We start from the raw sequence: 25,016 nt of genomic DNA, 5'->3' as shown, positions 1-25,016 counted from the left end.
TTTCTGCCGTGTATGTTCTTGACGACTTTGTCAAATATGAGTTGGCCGTAGATATGTGGCTTTAGTTATGGCTTCTTTATTCCATTGACCTATGTGTCTATTTTTATGTCAGTACCATGCTGTTTGGGTTAATATAGCCATGTAGTATAAATGAAGTCAGATAATGTGATGCTTCTAGCTTTGTTCTTTTAGCTTTGTCTATTCAGACTCTTTTTTGGTTCCATATAAATGTTAGGATTATTTCTTCTAATTCTGTGAAAACTACATTCCTATTTTGATGGAGATGGCATTGAATCTGTAGATTTTTGAGGGCAGTATGGTTATTTTAATGACTTTGAATCTTCCAATCCATGAGCATGGGATGTTTTTTCATTTGTTTTTGTCATCTACAATTTCTTTCATTGTTTTATAGTTTCTTTTGTAGAGATCTTTTACCTTCTGAGTCAAGTATGCTCATAGGTATTTTATTTTTATTTTGTAGCAGTTGTAAATGGGATTGCCTTCTTGATTTCTTTCTCAGCAAGATTATGATTTGTTTTTAGAAATACTACTGATTTTTCTACATTGATTTTGTATTCTGAAACTTTACTGTATTCATTTATCAAATCTGAGAGTTTTTTGTGGAGTCTTTAGGGTTTTCTAGATGTTAGCTCATATTATCAGCCAACAAAAATAATTTTACTTTCTCTTTTCCAATTTGGATGACTTTCATTTTTTTTTCCTTGATTGCTTTGGCTAGAATTTCCAGTACTATATTGCATGCAGTGGTGAAAGCAGGCATCCTTTTCTTGTTCCAGTTTTTAGAATGCATGCCTTCAGCTTTTCCTTTTTTAGTATAACGTCGACTGTGGATTTGCCACATATGACCTTCATTATTTTGATATATGTTCCTTCTGTGCCTGATTTGTTGAGGGTTTTTATTATAAATGGATGCTGAACTTCATTAAATGCTTTTTTCTGCACCTATCGGGATGGTCATGGGGTATTTGTCTTTGATTCTGTTTATGTGATGTTTCACATTTATTGATTTGCATATATTGAACCATCTTTGCATCCCTTGCATAAAGTCCACTTGACCATGGTATATTATCTTTTTAACGTGCTATTGGATTTAGTTTGCTAGTATTTTATTTTTGCATCTCTGTTCATCAGAATTTACAAAAACATTTTAATATTAGTCATATTTACATCCAAATACAGGTGTGAATAAAATAAAATAAAACTGCAGGTAAAGCAGTTTGACTATGGACAATAATTGTTTCTCAAAATGAAACTGAAAAGGAGAACTCAGGGTCTCAAATACTCAAGAGGTTTTTATAAATATATACTTGTGCTAAGACTATCAAAAGCAAACAGTATTTTTGATCTATTAGGTAGGCCTCTGGTAAAAATACCGGCAACTATATATCTTATCATGGTTCATCTTCAAATTATAAAAATATATTTGAGATAGGGTAACAGAAAAGACTGCTGACAAATGAGATTTTAACTGAATTCTATTTTCGTGTTAGTTAAAGTGATGTTGGTTATATGGATTACAGTTGTCTTGAGAAATAACTGAGACCACAGGACTATTAGTGCATATAAACAAGTCACCCATTTGAGTAGATGCCCTTTATGGGTAGATTATAGGAGAATCTACTGTTATTTTGAAATAGAACTTTTTTAAAAAAGAAATGGAACTAATATCTTAGAAACATCTACATATCCATTTCTTATTAAAAATATTATGAGGTAGGAAACAAGTCACTGTTAAAGTAATCTAGCTATTAAAACCAGACAGGATACTCAAAATTAGAAGTTTTGTCTCAAAAAATCTTAGTGGCTAATAAATGGAACCTACAGTGTTAATGCAGCAGAAACTTCATTCCTAGATCTGATGATGATAAAATAAAAAGGGATTAATAAAGTATTTTAAATGCAAATATAAACAACTATTTTAGTACGGAAAACCTAATTTTATTGGTGTCATATCTGTATGATTATTTCCAACTTCTTGTTCCAGTAGCCCACAACTGTGTTATAGCCTAAATAGTCATATAACAAAAAAGATGTTTGAGATTATAGTTCTTACAAATCTATTTGTTACATATTCCTTTACTGATCAGTTATGACTCATATTCCACTGTAAATGAAATACAAATGGATTAAACAAGAATGAATGAATTTTTCTCTTATGTAAACTAAATAATAATAAGAAAGAAATTGCTATGCATCTGTGATGCAGCACTCTGAGACTCATGACTGGGATATCAATATTAGAATTCAAACCCTAATTTTATGCCCCAATTCTGATTCATTTATGCATCTATTCAATAACGAATTACAAAGGGCTTTCTATCAGGCAGACCCTTGGCTTGGCACTTAAAATAGTTTGGGGAAAAATAGAAATGGTTTCTGTTTATATAATATTCATAGTCTTATAGTCTAGTAGTAGAAACATAAGTTAAAAATAATTAGGCAAATAAAGTATAAATATTAGTACCATGAGGAAAAATTTTAGGATATTATGAGGGAATATTTAGTAGATTGTAGAAATAGCCACAAATACTTCCTCTTTCTGTATTCATGCTCTTATAATAGGACATTGCAGATCATATCATATAGAGATAAAGTCTAATTTTCACTTAGGTGAATCATGTACCTTACTTTGGCCAATAAGTCTTTAGCAAAGACTTGAGAAGTATTTGCATATTGAGGATTTCTCTTTTGCCATATGTTGAATTTGAAACCACCATGAGACTATAGAGGGGAATTAAAATGTTCCATTTTTCAGACAACCAACCCCCAAATATGTGAATCAGGCCATTCAGGACCAGCCAGGCTGAAGCCAAACTGCCAAATGATCTCAGAACCTATATCTGACCATAGAGATAGGAGTGAGCCCAGCTGAGACCGGCAGAAGAACCATACAGCTGAACCCAGGCCAAAATACTGATACACAGAATTGTGAGTGAAATAAACAGTTTTTATTTAAGCTACTAAATCTGAGTTATTTTGTTATGCATCAAAATCTAACTGGTAATAAAGGATGTTAGGGGGACCTAATTTAGCTTACAGAAACCTGGAAGGCTCCTCCGAGGAAAGTATCTGATGGAGAATGAGAAAGTCAACTAAGAAATGGCAGGAGGAATATATTTAGACAGAAGAAAAAGCACATTTGAAAGCTTTGCATGAGGAAGAGCTTAATATATCTGAGGAAATAGGAGAATGTCAGTTTTCTTTGTTAGAGTTCTTCCTTGTTCCTGAATCTGAATGTCTTTCTTCCCCACTCTGCTTTGCATACAGCCTCAGATTTGAATTTTGATAATTGGGTTTCTACCCAATTTTCTATGTTTAATAAACACACACACACACACACACAGAGACATACACACACACACAACTCTCTTGATCATCTACCACTGAGCTGCTCTTATTCTTACCATACTCTCTTCACTGGACCACAGTGTACCCCCAACCTTGAGCTTGCTGGTTCGGGTCTTGCTATCTGATGACAAACTTTCCTGATGCCCGTTTCTTGTCTGGGCATTGAGAATTGACATTCATAGATTTGCTGTCTACTCTTTCTTACTACACCCCACTGTAGAAGTTTGGATGGGAAGAGTAATTGTAAAAGATGATCATGAAGACAAATAGGTAGATGATAGAAAGACAAACAGATGTATGAGCAGTTAAATGAAAAAAAGTAAGTTACAGAGCAACATCTATAAGATAATCTAATTTTTGTACAAATAAAATAATACATTATTTTATTATATACTACCCACGTATATGCACACACACACACACACACACACACACACACACACACACACCCCTACACCAACTTAACAGTGGTTGCTTCTAAATCCACAGTCCTAGGATTATTCTTTTCTTTGTTTTCTATCCCTTTATATTATTTGAATAAATTGAATTAAATTTTCTAAAGAATGCTTACTCAGGAAATACATGTTTATTAATTTAATAAATAACATTTAATAAATATACATTTATTAATTTACATCTACTGAGATATATATATACCAAAAATTCAAATTTACTTTGGTCAGTTCATAAAGACCCACATCTAGCACTTACGGGTATGGTTAAGGGAGGCAAAATCAAACAGGACTTGGGGGTGCCAATGTATTGACTAAACCTCAGGAGAGACAAACTAGTTAAAAACTAAGTATAATGTTTGCACAGTTTGCAACATATCCTCAAGTTGGTAGGCTCTCACTAGGCTTTAATGTTTTATTATATAAATCTATGTCTACAAGTTAACTCTTTGTTTTTTTCCTTTAAAAAAGTAAACAAAGAATAATTAGAATATGTTTGTTAATTAAATTTCTCTATTTTGAATTTTTGTCCCCGGAGAGAGGGAGCAAGTAAGGTAAATGCAATAACTTGATACTTTGCTTTTCCTGAGAGATTCAAAGTCAAAATAATAAAGCAGTGAGAGCCTAGTTTTTCAGCATCTTTATTCTTTGCATGTAAACATACATGAAATACGTTAAACAAACACCCACATATCTAATCACATTCCAATTACCCTGTGAGGTTTAAGGCAGGTTTTACCATTCTCCTTGCTTTTGAAATTGTGGAAGCTGAGGCTCAGCATTAACGGAGTCAGCTAGGGTCACACACGGGGCCAACAGACTAAAGGGTTTTTTTGCAAAGATCAATACAATAATTATCTGGATAAGTTTAAATTATTCCCTCAAGGACAATATTTCAACTCATACTTATATTTCTTTTCATGAATAGTTTCTTCAGAGGAAAGTTTAGTTTATGGGACAGTTTTATTACAAAGTATTTGGCCCAACTAAATTTGATTTTCTAGATGACTAAGTAGCCATTTATTGTAGGGAAAGATTTTAGATAATATGAAAAGGTCAGGTAAGAGCTGAAATATGGAAATTTCATGTCATCATTCATTTTAAGTCAACTATTTCTTCATTATGTAAAGAATTTGCTTTTGATTTCTCTGTCATAACACTCAAGTAATATGAGACTGTTTCATTTTGTATTGATAAAATAAATAGAAATTTAGGCTTTCTTCACAGAAGCATAGCCATCTTTGAGCGTTTACATAGCACTTTATATTTCTAATCTACTTTACAATTTTTGTATTACTCATACCTTTCAACAACCTTGTGAATATGTCAATAGTATTAAGTTAAATAGGAAAGAAAAGACATAGAAAGTTAAATGACTTCTCCCGATACATAAGATTTTATGTTCTTACAACCTCATTGAATTATTAGATTAAAATGATGCTTCTAATCTTCTATGTTCTTTGTTTATTGTTAAATATTTTATATGAATTTAATAATGATTATAGTTCTAGGAAAAAATAAGGAATCAAATTTTCTTTTCATATCATAGCATAAATTGTATCAGGTATTTTATTTTTAAAAATTGGTTTTGCAAATAATAAAAATATATTTTGTTGATATCTAAGGATTAGTTTTCATCAGATTCTATTTTATTTCATTTTACAAATGTTCATTTGTATAATTTACTGTATAAACACCTCACCTCTATGAATTACTTAAGAGTTGAAGTAAATTACTACAAAGTTAAAAATTCTCACCAAATTAAGTTTATCTAGATCTGATCATTAGTTAAGAAATATGTTTTAATTCAGCTCATGTACCATTTATTTCACCCCAACAACTCCTCTAGGTAGGCATCGCTATCAGAATAGCAAAATTTGGTAATGTTGCAAAAATAGGTGAATACATTCCAAATCCTAATAAAATCTTTGCTATGCAATTGCCTTAAGAAATAATGCATACCCTGGGCCCTTCTCTGGGCTAGGACACTACTTGCCTTTCTTCGACGTTGCGCCTCTCCCTATTGCTGGATTTGAGCATCTAGTTTTGAGATGGTAAAAACACCCCAGATGGAGTCTTTGATTCTCCTGTCCAGGTCCTGGAGAAAGGTTTGACACAGTCAGTAAACCATCTCTTCACCACCCACACTATCAACTACACAGAGAAGACAGAAGTGTCCCCAGATCTCTCATCATGAAGGACTCGCTCCACCACCAGGTCTCTGGCCAGTCCCCTCGCCCACCCATTGCCCCGATAAGCTCCTCCACCCCTGGCCGCCAGCCCCACCAGGGTGCTCCCAGGGCCGGGACCACTGCGCCCAGAAGGGCAAGTAGGCTCCTAGCACAGAAAACAGCCCAGAGTATAGAGTGGAAGCAAGAAAGTGAGCCATGTATTGTTAGCAGAATTTTCCAGTGTTGCCCTTAGAATGGGCTTCAATCTCCTCTTGTTTCATGGGGTGTTTATTCCTGTGCTTCAGTCAGTAACAGCCCGATTTATTGGTGACCGATTTATTGGTGACCGATTTGTTGATCATTACATGGAGATGTTTGCTCATGGCTGGAATTCTTCCTCACGTCAATTTCCAGTGCTCTTTGGGTGCTCCACTGGTTTGTGCTTTGCAAAGTTGTGAATGCCATTTGATTCCAGGATACAGTTGACCTGGCATTTGAGGTATCAGGGAGAAAGCCTCACCCAGTCCTTAGTGGGAATTGCTGACATGGTCTTCTTCCTTTTACTGACATGGTCTTCATCCTTTTACTGACATGGTGTTCGCCCTTTTGCTGTAGGCTCTTTTCCTGATTCAGGGAATGTTTGTGAATCTCTTTCCCATCCGTCTTGTTAGTCAGCTGGTTAGTCTCTTGCATATGTCACTTCTCTCTCACTGTACCACTTCAAATATCTTTGGTTCAATAAAGGAATTGAAATGCATCAGCGGTTGTCTAACATAGAAAGGAATTGGCCTTACTACTTTGGATTTGGTTTGCCCTTGGCTTTTCTCACAGCACTGCAGCCCTCATATATTATCAGCCTCTTCCAGTTGTGCCTCTTCTCCTCGGTGGTCTTGTTAAGCAACAGACTCTTCCACAAGGCAGTCTACCTGCAGTCTGTCCTGAGCAGCTCAAATTCTGCAGAGAAGTTCCCATCACCACATCTATCTCCTGCCAAACTGAAGGCTGCTGCAGGCCGTGGAGCTGCCTGACATCCAAAGGAGATGGGTGGGATTGGAGGAGACTGTGGCAGCTCTTTACCCTGTTCACCTCCCCCTGCCAGGGAAGGCAGGACCCACTCTGCCAAGGGCCCTCTGCTATTCTCTTCTCTCTGAGGAATTGGAATGTTTGTCTCTGGTGCCTGTAAGGCAGGATCTTCCTGGCACCAGTGTGTGGATTTATTTATTTATTTATTTATTTATTTATTTATTTCTTGAGACGGAGTCTTGCTCTGTCATTCAGGCTGGAGTGCAGTGGCGCAATCTTGGCTCATTGCAACCTCTGCCTCCCAGGTTCAGGCGATTCTCCTGCCTAAGCCTCCCGCATAGCTGGGATTATAGGCACCCGCCACCATGCCCAGCTAGTTTTTGCATTTTTGGTAGAGACAGGGTTTCACCATGTTGGCCAGGCTAGTCTCGAACTCCTGACCTCAGGTGATCCACCCACCTTGGCCTCCCAAAGTGCTGGGATTACAGGAGTGAGCCACCGCGCCCGGCCCAGTGCGTGGAATTTTAACACCACCATTGAGTCTGAAACGACCAAAGGTTTTTCTGCAGCTATTTTCTCTATGCCTGGACTGATTTGAGTATTTTGTTTTTCTCCTTGTGACACTTACCCTCTCACCTTTCCTTCCTGCCTTCTACCACCCTTGGATAAATGGATCTTGTAATTCTAGCTGTTGTATTTTGTGGATTTGTTATTTTTGTCATTTTTCTGTGAAGCACATACATTGGATGTGGGAGGTAAAGGAGAATTGCAGTTGCTCCTCGTCACTGCAGTCTTGTTTCATTTATCTCAGGTTAGGTAACTCAGGTATTCGTCTCTCTTGCTCCACTGCAAAAAATATAGATAGATAGATAGATAGATAGATAGATAGATAGATAGATAGATATGGATATAGATATAGACATAGACATAGACATAGACATAGACATAGATATAGATATAGATATAGATATAGATATAGATATAGATATATACATCCTGAAGAGATGAGGCAGGAGAAAGGACCTCACAGCCAGATCTGCTGAGTGCAGGTCACAGGGGATATGATGACTTAGCTTGGGCTCAGAGGCCTGACATTCCTGTCTTCTTATATTAATAAGAAAAATAAAATGAAATAGTGGTAAAGTGTTGGGGAGGTGAAAATTTTTGGGGGGTGGTATGGAGAGAGAATGGGCGATGTTTCTCAGGGCTGCTTCGAGTGGGATTAGGGGCAGCGTGGGAACATAGAGTGGGAGAGATTAAGCTGAAGGAAGATTTTGTGGTAAGGGGTGATATTGTGGGGTTGTTAGAAGAAACAATTGTCATTTAGAATTATTGGTGAGGCCTGGATACAGTTTTGTATGAATTGAAAAACTAAATGGAATAAGAGAAGGAGAAAAACAGGTACTAAAGGACTAAGAATTGGGAGGACCTGGGCTATCTGATTAGAGAGTGCGTAAGGAGGTTCAGCATAGTCCTGCCAGCAAAGATTATTTATTTACTTTAAGAGTTAAGAGTGGCGGTTTGGGGATAGCACCAGGAGATATCAGCTGTGATGGCTTGGAGAAACAGTGAAAACTGGCAGTGTAAACAAGAGCAGGGCATGCATGAGTAGTTGAGAACAGTGAATAGGAGTATGACTAGACAGAAGATAGTAGGGATGACAAGTTTTTTGGGGCACAGTCTAAGTTGGTCTGGTGTCTGGAATGAGACTGGGGCCTAATAAAAAGGAGCGTCTATACAGGAGCTTAAAGGGGCTGTACCTTGTAGCATTCCAAAGACAGGCCTGAATTCTGAGAAGGGAAAGTGGTAAAAGTATTGTCCAGTCCTTTTTAAGTTGGTGGCTGAGCTTGGTGAGGTGTGTTTTTAAAAGACCATTAGTCTGTTCTATCTTTCCTGAAGACTGAGGACTGTAAGGGATATAAAGGTTTCACTGAATACTAAGAGCCTGAAAAAATGCTTGGCTGATTTGACTAATAAAGGCCGGTCTGCTATTGGACTGTATAGAGGTGGGAAGGCCAAACCGAGGAATTATGTCTGACAGAAGGGAAGAAATGACCATGGTGGCCTTCTTAGACCCTGTGGGAAAGGCCTCTACCTATCCAGTGAAAGTGTCTACCTAGACCAAGAGATATTTTAGTTTCCTGACTCAGGGCATGTTGAGTAAAGCTAATTTGCTAGTCCTGGGTAGGGGCAAATCCCTGAGCATGATGTGTAGGGAAGGGAGGGGGCCTGAATAATCCTTGAGAAGTAGTAGAATAGCAAATTTGCCAGTCCTGGGCGGGGGCAAATCCCTGAGCTTGATGTGTAGGGAAGGGAGGGGGCCTGAATAATCCCTGAGGAGTAGTAGAATAGCAGATGGAACACTGAGAATTTATTTCCTTGAGGATAGATTTCCATGATGGAAAGGAAATGAGAGGTTCTAAGAGGCAGGCTAGTGGCTTGTACTATAGCATAGCTGCCTTTGCTGGTGTGTGGTGATTAGGCCTGGTGGAACTGCCATCAATAAACCAAGCGTGATCAGGGTGAGAAACAGGGAAGAAGGAAATGCGGGGAAATGAGATGAACGTCAGGTGGATCAGAGAGATGCAGTCATGAGGGTCAGGTGTGATATCAGGAATAATGTGGGAGGCCGGATTGAAGTCCGGGTCAGGAACAATGGTAATTGTGGGAGACTCAACAAAGAGTGAGTACAGCTGAAGGAGCTGGGAAGCAGAAAGTATATGTGTCAGGTGTGAGGAAGAAAATCAATTTTGGAAATTATGAGAGCTGTAGAGAGTGAGTTGAGCATAGTTTGTGATTTTAAGGGCCTCTAAAAGTATTAGGGTGGCAGCAGCTGCTGCACAGAGACATGATGGCCAGCCTAAAACAGTAAGGTCAAGTTGTTTGGACAAAAAGGACGCGATCCCGGTCCTTGTGTAAGAATTCTGACTGCACAGCCCTGCACTTCAGCTGTGTGTAATGAAAAGGGTTGGGATGAGTCAGGGAGAGCTGGGGTGGGGGCAGCCTCCAAAGCTGTCTTCAAGGAATGGAAAGAGGAATGGGGAAAAGATTTAGGATCTATGGGGTCAGCTAGGTTTCCTTTTGTGAGTTTATATAATGGTTTTGTTAGGATGGCAAAACCAGGTATCCAAAGGCGAAAGTATCCAACCATGCCCAGAAAGGAAAGGAGTTGTTTTGTAGAAGGGGTTGGGGTTTGAGAGATTAGTCGGACACGACCGGCAGGGAGAGCACGTGTGTTTTTATGAGAATTATGCTGAGATAGGTAACAGATAAGGAAGAAATTTGGGCTTCACTTAAGTAATGGGGGCTGTCTGTGAACCTTTGCAGCAGTACAGCCCAGGTAATTTGCTGAGCCTGATGGGTGTTAGGGTCAGTCCAAGTGAAAGCAAAGAGAGGCTGGGATGAACGGTGCAAAGGAATAGTAAAGAAAGCATGTTTGAGATCCAGACAGAATAATGGATTGTGGAGGGAGGTATTGAGGATAGGAGAGTATATGGGTTTGGCACCATGGGGTGGATAGGCAAAACAATTTGGTTGATAAGGCACAGATCCTGAACTAACTTGTAAGGCTCATCTGGTTTTAGGACAGGTAAAATGGGGGAATTGTAAGGAGAGTTTATAAGCTTTAAAAGGCCATGCTGTAGCAGGCAAAAGATAAGAGGCTTTAATCCTTTCAAAGCATGCTGTGGGATGGGATATTGGCATTGAGCAGGATAAGGGTGATTAGGTTTTAATGAGATGGTAAGGGGTGCATGATTGGTCGCCAAGGAGGGAGTAGAGGTATCTTATACTTGTGGGTTAAGGTTGGGGGATATAAGAGAAGGACGCAAAGGAGGCTTTGGATTGGGAAGAAGGGCAGCAATGAGATGCAGCTGTAGTCCAGGAATAGTCAGGGAAGCAGATAATTTAGTTAAAGTGTCTCGGCCTAATAAGGGAACTGGGCAGGTGGGGATAATTAAAAAGGAGTGCTTAAAAGAGTATTGTCTAAGTTGGCACCAGAGTTGGGGAGTTTTAAGAGGTTTAGAAGCCTGGCTGTCAATACGCACAACAGTTATGGAAGCAAGGGAAACAGGCCCTTGAAAAGAAGGTAATGTGGAGTGGGTAGCCTCCATACTGATTAAGAAGGGGACGGACTTACCCTCCACTGTGAGAGTTACCTAAAGCTCGGTGTCTGTGATGATCTACGGGGCTTCCGAGGTGATCGGGCAGCATCAGTCTTCAGCCGCTAAGCCGAGAAGATCTGGGAAGGAGTCAGTCAGAGAGCTTTGGGCCAGAGTTCCAGGGGCTCTGGGAGTGGCTGCCAGGTGAGTTGAACAGTCCTATTTCCAGTGGGGTCCCGCACAGATGGGACATGGCTTAGGAAGAATCCTGGGCTGTGGGCATTCCTTGGCATGGTGGCCAGATTTCTGGCACTTGTAGCAAGCTCCTGGGGGAGGCGGTTCTGGAGGAATGCCTGGCCACTGCAGTTTAGGCGTTCGGAAGTTCTTGTGTGCTGGAGATGTGGCTGGGGTTTGTCTCACAGTGGAGGCAAGGAATTGCAACTCAGAAATATGTTGCTACTTGGCTGCCTTTACTCTATTATTGTACACCTTGAAGGTGAGGTTAATTAAGTCCTATTGTGGGGTTTCAGGGCTGGAATTTAATTTTTCGAGTTTTATTTAATGTTGGGAGCAGATTGGGTAATAAAATGTATATTGAGAATAAGACGGCCTTTTGACCTTTTAGGGTCTAGGGCTGCAAAGCGTCTCAGGGTTGTTGCCAAATGAGCCATGAACTGGGCTGGATTTTTATATTTGATGAAAAAGAGCCTAAATGCTATCTGATTTGAGATAAAGAAAAAGGAGCATTAACCTTGACTATGCCTTTAGCTTCAGCCACCTTTTTAAGAGTAAATTGCTGGGCAGGTGGGGGAGGGCTAGTCACGGAACGAAACTGTAAGCCAGACTGGGTGTGAGAAGAGGTGATAAAAGGATTATAGAGTGGAGGAGCGGAGGCTGAGGAAGAATTGGGACCTAGCTTGGCCTGGTGAGGAGGGGAGAGGTCAGATGGGTCTGTAGAAAAGGAAGATTAGAAAGACTCAGCAATGCTTGGGGTTGGGACTGAGGGGACAGGTGGGAGGGAAAGAAGGAAGATTTGGGAGGGGTTGCATTGGGAACAGAGACTAGAGAGGGACCGATGTATAAAAGAATGCCTGGATGTCAGGCATCTCAGACCATTTGCCTATTTTACGACAAGAATTATTTAGATCTTGTAGGATGGAAAAATTGAAAGTGCCGTTTTCCAGCTATTTGAAACTACTGTCGAGTTTGTATTGGGGTCAAGTGGCATTGCAGAAGAAAATAAGACACTTAGATTTTAGGTCAGGTGAGAGTTGAAGAGGTTTTAAGTTCTTAAGAACACAGGCTAAGGGAGAAGAAGGAGGAATGGAAGGTGGAAGCTTGCCCATAGTGAAGGAGGCAAGCCCAGAGGAAAGACAGTAGAGACACGGAGAAGGGGTGGGGGGTTCTTGCCCTCCAGAAAAGCAGAGAAGGGGTCGAGGCACGGAAATAAGGGGTTGGGGTGCAGAGATAAGAGGTCGGGGCACAGAAATCAGGGATCGGGGCACAGAGATAAGAGGTTGGGGGGTGGAAATAAGGGATCGGGGCACAGAGATAAGAGGTCAGAGTTCCTGTCCCTCCCCCAGAAAAGCAGGACTTGCCGCTAAGGGTGAAGGAGAAGGGGTTGAGGGGTTCTTGCTCCTCCCCCAGAAAAGCAGAGAAGGGGTAGAGACATGGAGAGAAGGGGTTAGGTTTCTTGCCTTTCCCCCAGAAAAGCAGGACTTACCATTAAGGGTGAAGGACCAAGGCAGGTGTCCCTGTGTGGTCTGACACCTCTGAAACCTGGGTGAACAATCAGAAAGGCGTCCCTGCAATGATTAAACACCAAGGGAAGGCTGCCTTCCCTAGTCTGTGACCGGTGCAGGAGTTTTGGGTCCACGGATAAAACGTGTCTCCTTTGTCTCTACCAGAAAATGAAAAGAATTGAAATGAAGAGAAGGGAGAGATTGAAGTGTGGCACCAAGATTGAAAGGAGAAAGAGGTTGAGGGATAGTGAGGGAGGTTGGAGAAGAGACTAAAAACAGGCTGCTTACCGGATTTGAAATTGTTGAGATGTTTCTTGGGGTCGTCGGTCTGAGGACCTGAACGTAGGTGGATCTTTCTCACGGAGCAAAGAGCAGGACAGGGGATTGATCTCCTAAGGGAGGTCCCCCGATCCGAGTTACAGCACCAAATTTCACTTGCGTCCATGTGAAGAGACCACCAAACAGGCTTTGTGTGAGCAATAAAGCTGTTTATTTCACCTGGGTTCAGGCAGGCTGAGTCAGTGAAGGGAGATAGGGGTGGGGCCATTTTATAGGATTTGGGTAGGTAAAGGAAAAAGGGAGGTTGTTCTCTGGCAGGCAGGAGTGGGGGTCACAAGGTGCTCAGTAGGGGAGCTTTTGAGCCAGGATGAGCCAGGAGAAGGAATTTCACAAGATAATGTCATCAGTTAAGGCAGGAACAGGCCATTTTCACTTCTTTTGTGGTGGAATGTCATCAGTTAAGGCAGGAACTGGCCATCTGGATGTGTACGTGCAGGTCACAGGGGATATGATGGCTTAGCTTGGGCTCAGAGGCCTGACACTGTTCACAAGGACTTGTAAGTTGTGTTCTTTGACCAATGCTACTTTTTAAAAATAATAGACTTCATTATAGGAAACTCCCTTCACATTCTATAACCACTATATCCTCTGGTTGCTTTGGATCTAACAGTAAAACTTTGTTGTTACTAATCCTTGCAGTTCCCTTACACCTGGTACTATGGATGAAATGTTTGTCTCCTCCAAAACTCATGTTGAAATTGAATAGCCATTGTGACAGTATTAAGAAGTGAGACCTTTAAGTGGTGATTATGCCATGAGGAGTCTGTCCTCATCAATGGATTAATGCCTTTATTGCAGGAGTAGTTTCCTTATAAGGAATGAGTTTGCCCCCCTCTTTACCTCTCTCTTTCTCTCTCTCTGTCACACACACACTCTCTTTTCACCTTTCTACCATGTGATGATCCAGCAAGAAGCACTTGCCACTTACAAGATGGCAGTGCTTTGGACTTCCCACCCTCCAGAACCATGTGATGATAAATTCCTGTTAATACATCACCCAATCTAAGCTTGTCTCTTATAGCAGCATAAAATGAACTGACAATTGGTAAATATCTCTGTAAAAATTCTTTTTACTAAATCTTCTTGAACTACCTTAATTTGCATATGCCATCTATTTCTTGCTGAGACCCTAATACAGTCACATTTTTATTATTTACTCTCTTGCTTTCTTTTGATATTTTTTCTTCTTGAACCCTTTCTTCTCTTAGCTACTGTGACTGTATGCTTTGCTTCTTTTCTTCCTAATTCATTGATTTATTCTAAGTCCCTTTTAGTAGGTCCTTTTCTTCTATTCAACTTTGAGATATTGAAGTGCACTATGGCTCATTCTTGGACCAGTTCTAGTCCCTAAGTGAAAAATTTCCCTAAATCGTCTCATTCAATCTCATGACATTTTAATAACATCTATATGTTAATGACACTTTATTCCTAGCCCTGACCATTTCCTGAAATACAGATTTTTTAATATCACATATATAAAATATATTTCTCCACATGTATTTCTGATAAGAATCTTAAAATTAACAATGGAAAGTTGCTTTAACTTTTTGTTCCCCAGTTGTCTCTATCTCAGTAAATACCACCACCATCCACCCTACTACAAAAGCCAAATATCTAATAATTAATCTTGATTTTTTATTTTACTAATATCCCATATCAGTTTTAACAGCAAATCTTGCAGACTCAACCTACAGAGCGTATTTTTGAAGCTATAATTTTCTTTCCACTCCTACTCCTAATGGATTCAAGTCAAAGTTTTGATTGTTGCCTTTCCAGACTGCCCCTGTCCTTCTAAAATTGATTTTTCAAATAGCACTCTTAATTATCTTTTAAACATAGAAGTCTAATCAAGTCTTTACTCACTTCAAATGTCTTCTCATCATTTACACTAAAATGCAAACTCCTTATCCTGATTTATAAAGCTCGGCATGACAAAGCATTCTCTTGGTCTCCTAATACATCTCATCCTACTCTTTCTCTCTCCCAACCTGCTGTAGTCACTCTGGCCTTCTGTCTCTTCTTTAAATATGCTAAGCTCACTTTTTTCTTGAGGCCTTCACACAAAGTGCCCCCTCTGCTTGAAATGGGTTCCTGTAATCTTTACATGTCTCTCTTCTCACAAGTCTCAATTTAAATATCAGTTTCCCAAGATGCCTTCCAAAATCATGAAGTCAAAATTAAATACCCCCCACACTCCAACACATCAAATTATTTTAATTATCATTACACCATTCATCCCTTTAAATTATTTATTTATTTATTATATTCCTTTCCAAAATTTATTGTCTTTTTCCTCCTAAAAAATGTGAGCTTTCTAAGAGGAAAGATCTTTTCTGACCTTTTCTCCACTATAGTATCCAAGTGCCCTAATTTTATCTGGAACAGACAAGGTGTTTTAAAATATTTGTTGAATAAATAAGCAAGTTTATGAGGCCTTAAAACATTTGGGTTATATTACAAGAAAATACTTATATTACCTTATGCTCAAGTATCCTAAAACATTATAAGAAGACTCTGAATACTGACAAGAACCGAGGTAAGTCAGTTCTGCCCTTGGTAACAACCATCTAGTCTAATAGGAAAATTAATGCACTATTTAACACTGTCCTTCTTTAAATCACATTTGCAAAAGCAAAACTACATTTGTTCATTCATTCTTTATGCAACCATCATTTGCTTTTATATTATGGGAATTTTATACACACTGGCTATACAAAAATGAAAGATCTATTCTTGCCCTCAAGGAAACTTTGGTCTTACATTAATTACTTTTATGGCTCTGCATGACTTATATATCTATTGCATCATCAGAAAACATGATAGGTAAAATGAACTTGCTATAAGACATTCAAATCTATAGAAGCTGTAGACTATGTATACATCTACCAGGCATGGCTATGATGAGTATATTGAAGACCTGGGCTTGCACTGTTGGCACACACACACAACTTTTTTGTAACTTTTTTAATGAAATTTTCCCCTTAATGTTACCATGCTAATAATTCACATTTTGAATTTTGAAATATCCAAATGAGCTTATAAAAGTAATTGTATTTGTTTGTATATTCAAAGTATTCATTTATTAAACATAAACCTTTAGAGTGTATTAACATTCTATAACAGGCTTCCAGAATTTCTGGAATTTTAAAATACTAGATATAAGAAACTGATTTATTGGTATTGATTCTTCACTCCCCTGTTGTAGTCTTATACTTCTGTATCCTTGACATAGCCTCATATTGAGTAGTGTATATTTCCCCACACTCAGCCATTTGACTTGGTCATATGATTTGCTTTGATCAATGGAATGTTATTGGTTGTGAATAGAGGATTGAAATGTGCTTGTGCAATTGAGCTAGCCTGATTGTTCTGCCTTTGCCAAAACAGGAAAGTATACTGGGTAAGCACTGACCCTTTAGCTAGAGGCTTAAAATGAGACATGTAGAGCAGAGCCATCCAACATACTCATACATCTACAGCCTAAAGCAAAGTTGACTGATTAGCCTCAGTAGAGCCACCCTAGCTGATCCACAGCCATGTGTGCAAGAAAACAGTGCTTCTTGTTGTATGCTCCTGAGATTTTTTTCTTACTGATGCTAACATAACTGACTGATACATCAGGATTCTCAAATATGGAAGAGGCCTTGATCCCTTTAGTTGTCTGAGGTACCCTGTGCTCAGCAATATTCCAGACAGCTAGTCTGCCCCTGAATAGGAACTGGGCTGGGATAATCTCAGGTGTCCTATATCTGATGTATCTAGAGTCTTCAGCTTTTATAGTTAAAATCTGGATGCAATTTTTGAATGCTTTCACCTTCACTCATATCTAGAGTTGTATATGCCTACTGATTCTTCTTTTGCAGCACTTTCTAAAATCACTATATAGAACTTCAAAGATTAGTTAAGAGTTTCCACGATGGAGTCTCTTGTATTCTGCGGTGTTGTCTTTTTAAACCATATGCACAGCACAAGTTTTGTTCACTCAAAGCAACATGATTACATGCCCTGCAATCTAGATTGTAGCTTTTGCTTTTCATTTTTTTGTTTCCATTCCCCAACCATTTTAAACATCTTCTTCCTCTTCTGTAATAATTAAAGTTCAGCTCTTCAAAAAAAAAAAGCCCTATTACTCTAATTATTTCTGTATCCCAGGCGATAAATTAACAAACATTTACACTGTACCTGCTATGTGCAGGGTTTTATACTAGTTGCTTTGGGAGTATCAAGATATATGAGACATAATCCATACCCTTTAGGAATTTACACTTATGTTGGAGAAATAAATCACAGTTAATAACTATAGAACAAGGGAATATAACACAGGTGCCCTGTGAATGAGATGGCTAAGTGGTGCTATCACTGTGTGATGGCTGGTCAATATAGATTACTTCTAGCTACTTTTAAAGATCATCTCTAATAATGTTGATGGTGAATGTGGACTAGAGGACAGGAAATCATTTAAAATTAGAATGCTGCCACTTAAACTGTCTGAAATTTTGGCAAACATGAAAGTAAAAAAATGCTGAAATACAAAGTTACATTTATTTAGTTCTACTCTATGAAACACAGACAGACTAAAAAATATAAGTTAATCTTTGTCTTTCATCCATTGTAAGTAACTGGTATTCATAGGCACTTCAAATTTTTAGTATCTAGTGTCTATTTAGTCAATGGCAATAATGAAAGTCACTATCTACACAGGCAGGGTTTTAAAATCAATTTAATGTTTATAAAGTAATGTCATAAGGATATCAGTCCATTGTTGCTATGAAGAATTACTAATTAAATGCTTTGATTATGGATTTTTATTAAAACATTCTTTGAAGCCAAAATAATTACTCTTTTAGTGAGCCTTATAATTAAAGAGTGGTTCTTTCACTTATGAAAACTATGCTCTATGATGTGTGAGCAGAATTCCACTTTATATTCCATCATTCATTTTTTTTCTTGTTTTACATAGTCATTTCACTTTGTTCAACATTTGTGTGTATAGCTAAGAAGCCCAATGAGCCAGAACAGATTGTAAGACCTTGTTGCCCCTTCAACTGAGAAGTCACTGTTTGACACTGTTTCCTTAAGGAAATAATCAAAAGATTTGCAAAACAACAGAAGGAATCAAGTTTTACTGCTGGTCCCTGAATTATAATATTAAATTATGTGTTAAAAAGGTATTAGGCACACAGTCTTCTGGAATAACCATCATCGTTACAACGTATTGCTTTCCATTTGAATTAGCATATAAATGAACAAAGATGTCCAACCACATAGCAGAGATGAGATTTGCCATCTTAAGCATTTAGTTGCCTTAGAAGCAGATTGTGTAAAATGCAAACTGGTGTGCTTGGATGATGATATTTGCTTGTTTGGGAATTTAGAATTCTGGAGTTAGTCTTAGGATATCAGGGATACACAAAGCAATTATATAATTTTTCCCAGTAGAGTCTTTGAAAACCTGTTCAAAAGATGCCAGGGAACTAAGTAAATAGAAAAGGTGAGTTTTCTTTGTCCAGTGGACAAATGCACAGAGGTACATGGTACATTAAAGTAGCTGTAATTAGCTGGGCTTGCCGCCAGTTATAGGTATGTGAAGAAGAAAGACATGGCAAAATATAAGGCAAAAATGGTTGGTGGGATAGTCTGTACACAATGGGAACCATTGTAAGTATTCAATTATTGGCAGTAATGAGAGCAGATCTCGTTATAAGGAAGATCAGCAGCAGTGTACAGATGGATGATGAAAACAAGTAGACAAGGTGAGTCAGAGGTCAGAGCGGTAGTCTCAATGAGACGTGATGCAAGTTTGAATCAAAACACCCACAGTGGAAATGCACGTGTGTAACAAATGCATATGAGTAACAAATGCATATGAGTAACAAATGCATATGTGTAACATAATACGTTACACAAAACTTGTTATGATTAGAATCTGTGGGACTTGTTAATAAATAAGACGTGGAGGTAAAATGAGTAAATGCTAAATTTAAGACAGACACCCAGATTCCTTGCTAAGAAACCCAGTGAGCCTGTGGTAGTAACTGAGCTAGCGATTAAAGGAGAGAAGCAGGGTAACCTGAGACATGTTCTTTCTGACCTATGTAGGAGAAATCCACATGACAATATCCAGTGAGTGCTTCCTCACAGAGGTCTTGCACTTCATGTCTGGACTCATTGACTTGGGCTTCATGAGCATATAGTGATGGAAGTCGAAAGTGTCTTTTCTGTATTCTGAGATTGTGTAAAGTATGAGCCAAATAGGCTGAGAACAAGGTCCTTTGATTCACCATCATTTAAAGAGCTGGAAGAAGTGAGTCCACAAAGATGACTTACAAGGAATCATTAGAGAAGTAGGAAGAAGATTGGAAGAGATTGCTAACTCAAAACCTGAGGACGGGCTTTCAGAGAATGGAAGGGGCACTATTGTCAAGGGCCATTAAATCTAAATAATGTGAATATGGAAATAGTCCACTGGATTAATTAAGAGGGTGAGAGGTCATTGATGAACTTTGTCAGAGATAGTGTAATCAAAAGTCAGAGGTAGAAGCCTAATTTCAAGGGGTTAAATCATAGAAGAGAAAAGAAAACCTGACTATAAATGGGAGGAAAGATATGAGATAGTTTGCTAAGAGGTCATTTGTAATTGATGGATATTTATTTTTTTCTTTTTATTTGGGAGAAGACCTGAATGTGGTTTTTAAACTGAGGGAAAGAAACGAGGGGAGAAGAAAAGTAAAAATATCGGGGGAGCAGGATAGGAAATATTAAGAAAGAAAATCTCCAGAAAACCTAAGAGGTTATTAAAAAGTCAATTATTTTTCATTTTAAAATGTTTTTAAACTGTTGAAAACACAAAACAGCAAAAAGAGTCTAAATTTTAAAAAGTTTTAAAAAACGGTAAGTTAACATCTTTAGACTTTAATCTCTCAATATGAATCCTCCAATTCTACCCCAAACAACCCCAAGCCTACCTTCCTCCACATACCACTAACAGTTTGCTATATATTAATTTGATTTTCTATATTTTAATAGTGCATTTACAAACATGCATGTATACATATATGTATACATTTTGTTTTTACAAAAAATAAATCATTATGTACATATTATTATGCAATTTAGACTAGAAAAAGGACACATCATTGGTATCTTTGCAGGTGAGTGTGCATTTGTACCACATTCTTATTAGTGGCTGCTTTTTAATGGCTTTTTAATATGCATGTCTTTTTATTGACCATTCCCACAATAATGAATATTTGTTTCCAATTTTTATTATTGAAGGCAATGTTTTAAGAGGAAATTTTGTTTTTTTCTAAAAAGTAGGGAGAAAAATGGGTGCAAATACAGATATCTTTTTAAGTGTGATGTTGGAAATGTAGTTACATATAAGGGCTGTTTACTGTGCAGGTCTGAGGGGGTACCAATTTCAAATAAAATATCTATTCATAGGTTATAAATTAAGCATAATCACACTTTTCTTTGATTATGCATTGTACTTTTAAAAAGCCTTTTGATTGACATATGCAATGCATACATGAGAACAGCTTCATGAATTTTCTAATATCAAATATGTCTTGTACCCAGCATCTAGATGAATAAACAGAATATTACCAGAACCCCAGAGAAGCAACTATGCACTCATTTCTAGGTACTAGTTATCCTAAAGATAGCCACTATCATCATTTCTAACATTATACAATATTTTGTCTATTCTGATCTCTACATAAAAAGGCAATCATGCAGGGTGTATTCTTTTGTATCTGCCTTCTTCTGCTCAGCATTTTATGATATTCATCTCTATTGTCATATGTAGCTGTAGTTCATTCATTCTCATCAATATACAGTATTCCACTGTGAAAATAAACCACAATTTATTTACCTATTCTTTTGTTGATGACAATTTGGGTAATTTCTAGCTTTCGGAAAAATAGTGCTGTTGTGCATGCCTATATGTCTTTGTGGAATATATATATATACGTATATATATATATATATATACACGTATATATATATATATATAGCATTTTTCTTGAGTATATACCTAGGAGTGACATTGCTGAGTGCATTTTGTTTTAAGTGGTTTTTGTGTAGGTGTAAAAATCTCTTATGTCAAGATCTGTGAGGACCAGAGTGTATTAATCAAAAGCTCTGTTTGGAGACAGCTAATGTGGTAGGCTGGTTAAACTCTTCGACTCCAGAGTCAGACTAGTTAGGTTCAAATACTGTCTCTGATGTTTTGCAATTGTGGGAAGTGATAAGTTACACACCCTCGCTCATCCTCAGCTTTATCATCTATAGAACAGAGAGAATAAGTACATTTCTTATTATATGCAAAATGCCTGAAGAACATTTAATGATAAGTAAATGCTCACTATTATTATTCCCATTATTTCTACTAATGAAAGTCTTACTTGGTCCTTTCAGGTTTTCTTTGCTGTATAAATACCATTTAGTCTTTGCTGCAGTCCATCTTTCTTTAACAGTTAATAAGACATATGAAGACCAGGTGTTAGGAGGATTTGGGAAATATAATTCTCTGCTACCCGATGCTCAAATATCAAACTGTGAAGAAAAAATGGAGCACACAAGGTGGAAGCAACAGCATCAATTGTATAATCTTCTTTCAGAATTCATTGTTTTCAGTGCTGAGAGGAACCACTTCATATCACCAGTTATTTCCTCCTACTCCATGTTCTTTCCTTCCTTTAAAACTAGATTTAATTTCCCATTTCATTTTAGCATGACACTCATCTGAGAACAATAATTTATCTTAAAAATGTTACCAAAAATTGTATCTAATGCTATTCATGAAGGATTATTTCCACATCACCTTTTGAAAAAAACTCTGGATGTTTACTTTTCTGACATATTATTAGCTTTATTATAGAAAATTGGTATATAAACATTTCAGTTTTTTCCCCTTGTATTATCCTGGATTATAAGGGAGAAAAGCATCCTCTCTTGCCTCTGGGATTTTCCTTATTGAGTTCAGGTGGAAGGAAAATACACACAACATTACAATATGCAGAGTCCATTTATGGACATCATAGGAGACTTGAGGAGGGCTTCAGTTCTATGGACTTCTTTGTAAGTTACTTTTTCAGATTTTCAAGGTCTTTATGTGCTACAATATAACTTACCTCTTTGTAAGGTGTAGGTTTTGAAGATTATTTCTTTCATTAGTCTTCAGCTCTGGCTTTGACCACATATATTTATTCAAGCCCACCCATTCCTTTTCCTTCAGGGTAGAATTTTCAGTAATGATCCCTCTAGCCTTTGATCAGTTTTGCATTTTTAAGACATAATTTCTTATGCGGCTTTTAAAGTGGTCTCACTAGTGGCATAACATTTGGAGAGTTGATGTAGAAGAAAGCAAACGTTTCTACTGCTTTTATTTTCCATTTACTTAATCTGATATTTAAGCAACCGGCCAAATTCTGTCAGCCAACTGTCTTACAGAATTCCAGTGAATGAGGTGACGATAGAATTTCAAGTACTGTAATTCTCTAAATCTATTTTTTAATTAGAATTTTGTGGGAGGAAGACAGCCATAATATAGAAAGTCATTACTTAGAAAGTAAAAGGAACAGTTTAATGATTTCAAAGGCATCAAAAAAGCAAAAATCTCTAAATATAATATTTTTAAGCATTATATATAATTAATAAAATATTTTTATGCATCAATAAAATTAATTAAAGCCTTAATGTTGAAAAGGAAGAGAATTCTTCCAATAATAGTTGAAAGTTAATTCCGGCATGTACAGTTTCATAATTTCTTTCTATCTAACCATATTAAACTTTCAAACCCTATATAAAGTGTTGAACGCTTTGTATCTCTAGAAATCGGCATGTTTCTGAAATCAGTACTGTTCTTGGACCACTTCCCAGGAGCAAAGCTCAGACAATATTCTATTCTTCAATAATGTGAGCCAGAAACAATGAAATAATAACGAGAAATACAACGTGAGGTGTAGGAATGAACATTAAACTGAGAGCCTCGCTAAACAGTTAGAGCACTTGTATTACTTCCTCCTCCTCTGCATAACTAAATCACAAGTAGGAGACCGGAGTTTCTTGTTGAATGGTGGACTAAACAAATGATGAAAATTTAGGAAAGATATTTTGTCTTTTCTCTTAACTTATAAAATAAAAATTATAGAAAATCTTTATTGTCTGAGAATTTATCATGTGAATTCTAGCAAATGGAATGTTGAATAGAGAAGCAAAATAGTTTATGAAAACATTTCCTTAAAAAATTAGTTCCCTTTCTAGGAAAATTGATATCTATAAACAAATGAAATGAAGTTGGGCCATTTTCTTATACTGTATACAAAAATTAACTAAAAATGTATCAAAGACCCAAATATAACAAAACTATACAAATTTTAGAAGAAAACATTAAGGGAAAACTTTATGACTTTGAATTTGGAAATAATTTCTTGGTCAATGATTTTGTATTAGGGAAATACAACATCTGGATATTAAAAATTCCTGGAAAAACAAAAAGTCTGAGAAAGCCAATGAGAAAAAAATTCATAGACATATGAAAGTTTTATAAAATGAAGATATTTACCACCAATGAATGCAAAAGAAACAAGAAGGAGGAAAGACCATTATACATTGCTGATAAATGATTGAAAATCAAATTGGGAAAGAAGTAAATCAATCTCTGTCAATGTTGTAAAGAAAACTAATTTTCAATCATTTTGATATACATTTGGAACCTTTTTTCTATTCCCTTTCAGTTTGTGAACACTGCCTTATTTTTCTTGTTAATTTATTTTTAAGTAAAACATTAATGACATTACTTAATGTCATTTCCATTACTTTCCAGAAAGTCTAGAAGAGTGTTAAAATGTATACAGAATCTAGATGTATTTTGAGCAAAGAACTTTAGGGATATCTGGCCTGCCATAGTACCAGAAGTAGAAATTATATTTCTTAAATTTTTTTTCATCATTTATTTATTAAAGATTTTAAACTGTTTCTCATTCTCAATCTTCAAATAACATTTTGTTTGTGTGTTTTATATTGGCCATTTTAAAGCTCCTAGATATATTTATTAATTTTATCTTTTCTAATACATCATGCTCCTGGATTTATCTATTAGTTTTTTTTTTCCTTTTCAATCCAGCCATATTTATTAATTTCTTATTTAACATTACTTATGTTTATTATAATTGCAAACATTTTTCAGTTGAATACTTCTTTCACATTTTATAGGTCAACTGTTTAGAGCTGATTATTTATTCTGATTATAGATTTAGCTACATCCCATACATTATTATATGTAATGCTTTTATTGAATTTAATTACTCTAAATAAGATGTCATTTATGATAATTTTTTCACGTGAATTCTTAATGTGTATGAGTTGCTATGTTTCATATTTTATGTTATTAATTTCCAGTTTTATTATATTTTGTTCAAAATATGTGACTTGTAGGATTGATTATTCATATGTATTGAGTTTTTAGATGTGCAAGAGTAATATAATCAAAATTTGGTAATGTTCCAAGGGTAATAAAAGGAACTATTCTGTGTCCTCTGACTGTAGAGCTCAAAATTCACTGATTTATTAAACCAGACTTTGTCACTATATCAATAACTCCTCCCCATGTTTGTGGCCTTTTCTTCTTGACCTATATGGCTAGATGATTACTTACTATGAGTCCATTACCAGGTCTGTGATCCAGCCACCAGTGAAGCTGAGGTTGGGCTCTATAAGTCTCAGAACTGAAATTTCTCTACTTAATCTCTTCTTTACATCTAAGAAAGACACTGTGCCAGCAGAGAGCTTTTACTATACAATTAAAATAATTTTTTC

The 25,016-nt window shown here is 37.1% G+C and overlaps 2 pseudogenes, besides 1 other annotated feature; one reads left to right on the top strand and one right to left on the bottom strand.

Moving 5' to 3' along the window:
* Positions 5,789-5,934, bottom strand: EI24P6 (EI24 pseudogene 6; annotated as a pseudogene).
* EI24P1 (EI24 pseudogene 1) lies at positions 6,141-7,205 on the top strand (annotated as a pseudogene).
* Positions 13,305-13,843: an enhancer, noted in NCBI's record as "NANOG hESC enhancer chr3:175778986-175779524 (GRCh37/hg19 assembly coordinates)". NCBI's record gives its function as "activates a minimal SCP1, AML or CMV promoter by ChIP-STARR-seq in primed H9 embryonic stem cells {active_cell/tissue: H9 hESC(primed)}" and the evidence as "EXISTENCE:reporter gene assay evidence [ECO:0000049][PMID:30033119]".

Source organism: Homo sapiens, chromosome 3 (genome assembly GCF_000001405.40).
Source record: "Homo sapiens chromosome 3, GRCh38.p14 Primary Assembly".
Classification (NCBI taxonomy): Eukaryota; Metazoa; Chordata; class Mammalia; order Primates; family Hominidae; genus Homo; species Homo sapiens.
Note: the sequence above shows the minus strand (reverse complement) of the source record. Positions and strands in the feature narration are given on the sequence as shown.